We start from the raw sequence: 9,013 nt of genomic DNA on the forward strand, positions 1-9,013 counted from the left end.
GGAACATAATCTCTGTGTATTCCATCATATACTCTAAAAAATGAATACTATAAGTACATATATATGTATATGACAATATTATATATACTAAAATGTATGATATCATTTACATTACTAAACAGCAGTGGAATTAAATACAATTGGCTGCCTCAGTTCTTTTATTAATAGTTCTCTGCTACTTTTTTAGGCAGTCGTAAGCCCCAAAATGTTAATTATGTATACATTTCTAGGAGAAAAACCTTAACATTGATAGAGTTTTATTCCTGCATTTAATATATGTTGGCTTGCTGGTTTGTTTTCTGATAATTTTTAAAGACTGCCAGTTTTCTGCAGAACACATTGGTCTACTTTGCAGTTGTAGCTTCTGTGAAAACCTGGCTGAGGAACAATGAACAAATATAGAAAGCAGTGAATTCCTAAGGAAGAGCGGAGATGTACATTTGAATATTGAGTAAAATCATATAGAATTTTATTATTGATCCTTTGTCTTTTGGAGCCTATCCCTACATTTCAGCAATTTCACTTGCATCCTGTGGCTATGTCTGAAGGTGGCTTCCACATATGGGAGTTTGAGAGCCCCTTCACCTTTAAATTAATGTCTCTGCTCACCTGAGGTCTCAAACACACCCCTTTGGGAGCAGCCTGACCAACCCCCAAAGTCATTCAGTCAACAGATATTTATTTATGCCTTTTGGGTGCTAGGCACAGGTCCCAGCACAGGGCTGGGTACTGAATACATGGTGAGAACAAAAAAGACCTGGCCCCTGCCCTTGGAGAACTTAGAAACATTTTTAATAGCAAATACGGAAATGTGTACACAATTATATGTATATTATACAATCATAAGCATTACGAAGGAAAATTAAAGTGTATTAGGAAATAAATCAAAGATGGAATCTTCTCAGAGTGAAATCTCAGAGAAACTTCCCTGAGAAAAATAAATGAATTAGAAATGGGACCCTAATTTGGGTGAACATCAGAATTCTGCCTTGTGCAGTGTGAAGATTAGCATAAAATTGCTTCCCCTATGTGGAAAGGGACTGATGCATAGCAAGCAGTTGATCCTGTTAATCAGCTAATTTGAAAGTTCTCTGAGTTGGTAGCTTTAGTTGAACATAAATCCTGGCTCAGCGGCTGCAGGTGTGCCTGGACCCCTTCTGGAGCTTCTTTGGACATTCTGTCTCCTTCCTTCGGGTAAGTCACTGCAGATTGTCATTGTTCAAGCCATGAACTACCCATGAAAATGACTGGAAAAGCCATGTGTCTCAAATGGAGCATTTGAAACTTCCTTAAATGTCAGGAGTTTGAAAATCTTATTTTATATTTTAAAACTTAAGGCCATTCATCTTTGGCAGAATAGGGTGGAGGCAAAGCACTGCCTTCTATGTTAAAATGCATTTATGTAGACACTAAAGTTCTTCCAAAGCTTATAGAGCTTAAGAAAAAAATATCATTCTAGTAATGGTGGTAATGAAAATTAAAATCTTTCTTCATTTTAAAAAATCGCCATTGAATGGTGTAAAAACTTTACATTTTCTTTATTTTGGAAGTTTTAAAATTGCAGAGTAGTTGAAAGAACTGTATAGTAAACACTTGCGCAAACTTCATCCAGATTCAGCAATTGTTAATATTTTGTTACATATGGTTTATATCTATTATCTATCTGTCATCTGTCTCCTGAACAATTTGAATGAAAGTTGCATGCACCATGATACTTTCCCTAAATACCGTAATATGCCTCTCTTGAGAATAAGAACATTTCCTTCATACCACAATACCTTTATTACGCTTGAGAAAATAAGCCTTAATTAAATGTTTCATATAAAATATAGTACATACTTAAATTTTCTATATTGTTTTAAAAACTCCACTTGCAGTTATTTTGGGAGAATTCGGGATCCAACAAAGATTTTCACATTGCATTTGGTTATATATTTCACTAATCACTTTGACCTGATTCTGTCCCTGACTTTTTGGTTTTCTTTTGTTTTTCCTGGTCTTGATCTTTTTTGAAACGTTTGGACAGCAGTCTTGTATAAAGCTCCACATCCTAGAGTTATCTGATTGTTGCCTCATAATGAGATTCAGGTTAAACATTTTGGCAAGATGATTACATGGGTGATGTGTCATCCTCAGTGTATTAAATCAGGGACACATGATGTCAGGTCGTCCGTTCTTGATAGAGCTGTTTGACGACCCAGTGCAGGGATGACTGGCCGATCTTTCTGTTTTAAAAGAAAAATTTTCCCTTTTTCATTAATAAGTAATCCATGGGGTTTTGAGACAGTGTAGTACTCTCCCCCAACAACATTCCACCTAGTGGTTCTGTCGTCTGTTGATAATCCTTGCCGAAGGAGCAGCAAATCTATTTGGGATTAAAAATCATATCTTGGCCGGGCGCAGTGGCTGACGCCTGTAATCCCAGCACTTTGCGAGGCTGAGGCAGGTGGATCACCTGAGGTCAAGAGTTCAACACTAGCCTGAGCAACATGGTGAAACCCCATCTCTACTAAAAATACAAAAATTAGCTGGGCGCGGTGGTGTGTGCCTGTAATCCCAGCTACTCAGGAGGCTGAGGCACGAGAATCGCTTGAGCCCGGGAGGCAGAGGTTGCAGTGAGCTGAGATCGTGCTACTGCACTCCAGCTGGGTGACAGAGTGAGACTCCGTCTCAAAGAAAAAAAAAAAAAAGAAATCCTACCTTAACATTCTATCCCTTCTTCTATTTTATTTAGCTAACATTCTCATAAATTTATAGCTTTTTTCTCTCTCATTAATATGTACCTTTTAAATTAATTCAATATATTATGTCTATTAGCTTTTTAATTTTTTTTATCATGCACAAATTGCCCAAATTTGGAAGCCCCTTCAAAGGACTGTGTTCTTTTGAGGGGTCTCCATCATGCTTTGAGTGCTTCCTTACTCTCTTACCCAACGAGATATCCCAGGCTCATCCTGTCTCATTCTGGAATCAGCCAGTTCTCTGAGAAGCTCTAGTTCCTTTAAATAGAGAATGGTATCATCTAAAAACAAGATTTGGGGTCCAGAATTGTTCCTTGTTTATTAGAGTCCTCATTTCTAAGGCTTTTCTTTGAACAGATATAGGAAATCAACATGCCAGAATAAGATAAGATAGGATAAGATGTGATATATAACACAATATAATATATTAATGTATCTACACTATCTACAAATCAAATCCAATCCCACAGGGTTCATTCTCACCTTGCCCCATTTCCTATGTGTATCTCTGTTCCCCCATAGTGAAAAGCCCTGATTCCTAACATCAGTACATTTACTTGTTTCTTATAATCTATACAAGAAAAGTTTTAGAATCAATGTGGACTCTTTGACAGGTTGGAGAGTGCTTCGGAAGCAACATTTCATGACTTCGTACTGACCCCTAGTGTTTACTTTTTTGCTTTTGTAGTTTTCAAGGGATTATCCTTAAAGAGGTTGCCTGTTCTGTATCAGGTTTTCTCAATCTCAGTATGACTGACATTTTGTGCCAATGATTCTTTGTTGTGGTGGGCTGTCCTGTGAACCGAAAGGTATTTGGCAATGCCCATTGTGTCCATCCACTAGATGAAAACAACACCACTCCCTCCTCTGCCCTTCCAAGCTGGGACCATCAAAAAGGCTTCCAGACATTGCTACCACACCTTGGGGGTCAAAATCATCCCTGGTTGAGAACCACTGCTCTACCCAGACATGCAGTAGAGAGAAATGCTATTACAAATACTTTCTAAATGTGAATATTTAAATCTCTGGTAAAGAAAATTAGTCATTACTGAATTTTTTGTTCAATTAATTTATTGGTGTTTCCCAAGGTGCTCAGGATTATGGAATTTGTTAATGTTGAATTTGGTCATTTGTTAGGCAGTTTTCAAGCAGAAGAATTTTAAAATAAAAACAATTGTGGATTGTGAATATGCCTTCAAAATACCATTTAATCATCAAGTAGACAAGTGAGCTAGGAATGGCTCTTTTCTGCTGCACTGTCAATATGATCTATCACTGATTATGTTCCCAGTGAGTGTCAGTTTGGTTAATCTCCAAAAGGCAAGTGTAAAAATTTCCTTTTTGGTTTGGAAGCACATCATACTTCGTTATATTTTCATTGCACTTTGTTATGGCTATTCTGATATTATGGGAAGGGACCAAACTGCAGGAAATATAAATGTGTCATGCTGTAAAGGACAAATTCAGGAGCAACTCACAGAATTGCCTCTTTACTTATCTCCAGAACGGAATGACATCACTTTTCAGAAAGACACAAACTACTCACCTGAACCAAAGGAGGTAAATAGGAATTGTGATGCCTACAGTTAACAGATATCAGTAACAAGAAGAAATAATAATTGAAAATAATAATCAAAAAAATGATTGAATTGCAGCTGGGCATGAACCACAGCCCACTTTATCCATGCTGTAGCCCCTCAGTGTGTGATGAACACACAAACTCTCCTGTGTATTGTGGCAGAAAAAATGACTAAAACAGCTATTTTAGATTTTCCAGTGACTTCCCACACTTAGTTCTAATTTTGAGTTAAAGGCCAAAGTAATGATACCTTTAAAGAGCTTAAAATAAGTGACTGAATAAAATAGAAGTGAAGAGAGGTGGTATTCAAATTGTTTAATTGAATTGTTTAATTATTTTGCCAGTGGGCGTCAATCCATCAGAACGACTCCAGATGCAGCATTGGAGCATGATGGAGGCCCCTTCCTGTGACACACAGTAAAATTACTGGATGGAGAGGTGACTGGGCCTCCCAAGGAAGGGACAGGGACAGGAGCAGGGGGGGATTTGGAGAATGGTGCATCAGCAATTTACTGGTATGAAAGTATTGTAAGAATTTTGCTTTGAGTCTGCTGTACTGTACAAACCAGCTGAATTTCAGCTCTGAGTACTTACATAGTAAAAGAAATCCCTCAGCCCAGTCCTAAGAGGGGCATTCAATGAGTCCCAGAGGTGATAGACAGTTAGAGGTATAATTAATCAGTTATTGACAAATAAATGCCTAAATCTGAATCTTACTCATTTAGGTAGTCATTTCCTAGGTGCTTTGAGATATAAGAGTTGTCCCCCAAACCATGTTATCAGGGAAGCTTTATGGCAACCACTGTCCTTGGAGTTATATTTTTGGTCTTTGTTCCTAAATTTTTAGTTAACTGTGATATCATTTTTGCCTCAGAGAAGATGGAATGAAACTAGCAACACAAATCTCTTTTTTGAGATTTTTAAAAAAGAAATAAAAAAGGAGATCAAGATCATTGAGGCCAAGACCCTCAGCTCAGAAGTCAGGATTTTGGAGGCTTGGCTGACTCAGGTAGGAGCTTTTCTTGACTAGAAAATACTGTTTATAGAGTGGCCAGGGAAGAATTAGACATTATGATCAGATTCCCTGGGCACTGTGATCCTAAATTATGTGGAATATGCATGTCATTTTTACATTCTTGAGGTCCTTACAGATTTATAAAGCAAATCAGCAATTCAGCATCCTTCTGGCTTCATGCAGAACAAAGAAGCCGACATCCCGAAGTCCAGGGATGTAGTTCTTGATAAGCCTACCCTTCGGGTCTATCTGGGTGACACTGGGGTCTCAACTGGTTCCAAATTCCATCTCTTACCTTAGGCTTCCTAACATCTTTAGGATGGAAATCATAGACATTTCTTGCTATCACTTACACCCACCCCTTTCTCTAAGTAGCCTGAATTAGAGCCATGGATAATCCCTTTCTAGTCTGGGCCAGAAGTTCCCCTCGGGTGTACTCACACCCTCAAGTCTATTGTCTTATTTTTATATGCTTGCATTCTCTCTCTAAATCATCCTTATACAGTTCTGAGGGCTTCAAAAAAATCTGTACCTATTAAATTTAACATTTCCAGATTTGGTATATCCTGAATGTGTATTCCAAACTTTTCCTCTTAGATTGTTTTCATTTACAAATTCAAGCAACTTGTCATCACTGTCTCCAATGCAGTCATTAAATAACATAGCCAGTGACTGTTTGACCCCGAGTGTGATATGAGTAGCCTTTAAAAACCCTGTGACCAATACAAAGATGATATTTTATGAACTGTTTCTATCTCTTAATGATGCATCATAAATATTTTTGTAAGTAAAACATGTTGGAAATAATTGTGTCAAGAAGTGTAAAGGGGCTTAAAATGTTATTCGTTTTTATCACGTCTGAATTTACAACTGAAAACAGCTTTACATGAAATAATCATGCCATTTTACGTTTTTGTTTTATTTATTCATTTTTACTAGCAAAGACCAAGAAAACAAGCAAAGTATCCAAAACAAAAAGAGGAATATGGGTTAGTGAATTATGATGAATTGACAAGATGGAATATTATCATTCCATGGAAACGATTTTAGAAGAATTTATATCAATATGGGTAAATGCTTCTTTTCTAAAGTTTAGTGTAAAATTCAGGTTAAGATGTATCATTAGTGCTGTCAAGATGATTAGTAGTAAAAGAGATAACATTTTGAAGAGTGACAAAATGTAAACTAGTATGACATTTGGACACTTAGATTTAAGTATAACATATAAGAACAATGACAAAATATTATCTCTTCAGTTCCATTGAAAGAAGGTCTTTGGCCAAAAACTTCAACCATGGCTGAAAATTGCTTATATTAATGAACTATACATTTCAGTTAGGGCTTAGTCTTGTTAAAATAAAAATGTAATATCTCGCAGTGGTGAATTAGGTTTTGGAGGCAACAAGGCTCCACTGACTGGGAACATGAAGACGTTATTTGCCTCTCTGACAACTGCTTCCTCCCCAGTGAAAGTAGTAGGGCTAGCGTTAGCCTCAGACGGTTGTTGTCAGGATTAGTATGCTGACACGTGTAAGGCACCTACTACAAGCCCAGGCATTTAATAGATCCGTAATAAGTTATTGCTCTTTATTAAATTGTTCCAACTTTCACTTCTGGAAGAAAATAACCGATATAGCTCAGGGTACCTGGGTTTTGCTACAGTGCTTCTGGCTTAAAATCTGCATAGAACCAGGTTTTCCTGATTTAAGGTCCTTTTCAGACTCCTTGAACAGGTTATCTTTCCATAAAATGCTAACTCTCATCATCCTTACTCTAGGGAAATGTGGGGTTTTTTTATGTGGGGATAGGGTCTCATACTAAACCACACTAATTTTTTTATGCAAATTACACACACACACACACACACACACACACACAAAGTATTTCCTCCAACATAGTGTAAGGCTACTTTCAAGTGAGCAAGTGTATTTACCAGTTTCTGGAATTATTTTCCTGGACAAGCCTGACCTCTAGAGGACAGGAGTTGCTTGTTACCCACTGAGAGCCAACATTAGATACCGTTTGTGGAACATTAAGGTGCCGTGAAGTCAGACAAGTGCTGGGGTTGGCATGATGTGAATATAGGATCTTAATTCTGCACCAACTAGCTTGAGCAAAATTCTTTATCTCCTTGATCTTAAATGGGTTTTAAAAACTTTATTGAGGTATAAGTTACATCAAATAAACTGCACATATTTATAGTAAGCCATTTTATTAGTTTGACGGTTGTAAACATAGCAGTACAATCAAGATGCCACACTTCCATCACCTCCTAAAGTTTCCTCATCCCCTTTTGAAGTCCACTCTGCCTCCATCCCCATCCACAGACAACCAATAATCAGCTTTCTGTCACTATGCATGAGTTTGTATTTTCTAAAAGTTTTTATGAATGGAATTATGCAGCATCTACTCTGTTGTGTCTGGCTGCTTTTACTCAGACTAATAATTTTGAGATTAAATTGTGTGTATCAGTAACTTACTCCTTTTTACTGCTGAGTAGTATTCCACTGTCTGGATACACCACATTTTGTTTAACTTGAAAGGGATCATAGTCCTAAATGTAAAAAGTTAGAACTGCTAGCAGAAAATACGGGAGAAAATCTTTGTGAGATCTGGCTGGGCAAGGATTCCTTAAAATATGAATTGCACAGATAATAAATGAAAAAAAGGATAATTGGAGTTTATCAAAAGTAAAAACATTTGCTCTTCCTAGTAAACAAAAAGGTGAATCAGAAATTGGGAGAAAATATTTGTACACATATAGCAGATAAAGGTCTTATATTCAAAATAATAAACTCAAAGAAAAACATTCAGTTAAAACACATGCAAAATATTCTAGCAGACACCTTACATAAGAAAATATACAGATGGCCAATAAGCACATGAAAAGATGGACAACAACATGAGTTATCAGATAAATGCTTAAGGTATTTTTAAAGTCTCTGAAATCGGGTTATGTCTTACTATTTAGGTGCTTGCAATTGGTGTGCTCCTTTTGATGTAAAGTTAATTTTATTTTTAGAAGCAATATTTATTGGGTACTAAGGTTTGGGCAATGTTTTAAACACTTTGTATGCATTATGTCACTTAATTCTCACAAAACCTATGAAGGGAGTACTATAATTAAATCCATCTTCATGGGTGAGGAAATTGAAGCTCACAGAGTGCTTATAACTTGCCCTAGTCCCACAGCTAACAGATGGCAACACCAGGCCTGGAACCCTCTAGCTACCACTATAGCCCATGGGCTTAACTATTATGCTATTTTAAAAATTATTACACTAATGGTGAATGGTCAGTGGAGAATGCCTCAGAAAACAGAGCCTTCTCTGGAGTCCTGATATTAACTTATTTCATTACATTTTGTGGAGAATACCTCAGAAAACAGACCCTTCTCTGGAGTCCTGATATTAACTTATTTCATTACATTTTGTGGATCATTAGATGAATCACTGTAAGGTAAGTGCCTAGTGCCTAGTAGGTATGATCTATTAATGCTACTTCCCTTTCTTCCATCTATTTTGAGGCTTTTGGAAATTGCCAAAATAAATGTTTGAAAATTACATGATTCAATCAATTTAAGCCAGATTTTTATTTATCACTACTATCATTCAACTTTTAACAATCATCTTTTTTTGTGAAAGAATTTTGAATGATGCAGTATTCTTTATTTTTTAA

At 36.7% G+C, this 9,013-nt stretch overlaps 1 annotated feature.

Moving 5' to 3' along the window:
* Positions 7,203–7,312: an enhancer, noted in NCBI's record as "active region_13469". NCBI's record gives its function as "activates an Ori minimal core promoter by ATAC-STARR-seq in GM12878 lymphoblastoid cells {active_cell/tissue: GM12878}" and the evidence as "EXISTENCE:reporter gene assay evidence [ECO:0000049][PMID:35858748]".

This window comes from Homo sapiens, chromosome 18, assembly GCF_000001405.40.
Source record: "Homo sapiens chromosome 18, GRCh38.p14 Primary Assembly".
Classification (NCBI taxonomy): Eukaryota; Metazoa; Chordata; class Mammalia; order Primates; family Hominidae; genus Homo; species Homo sapiens.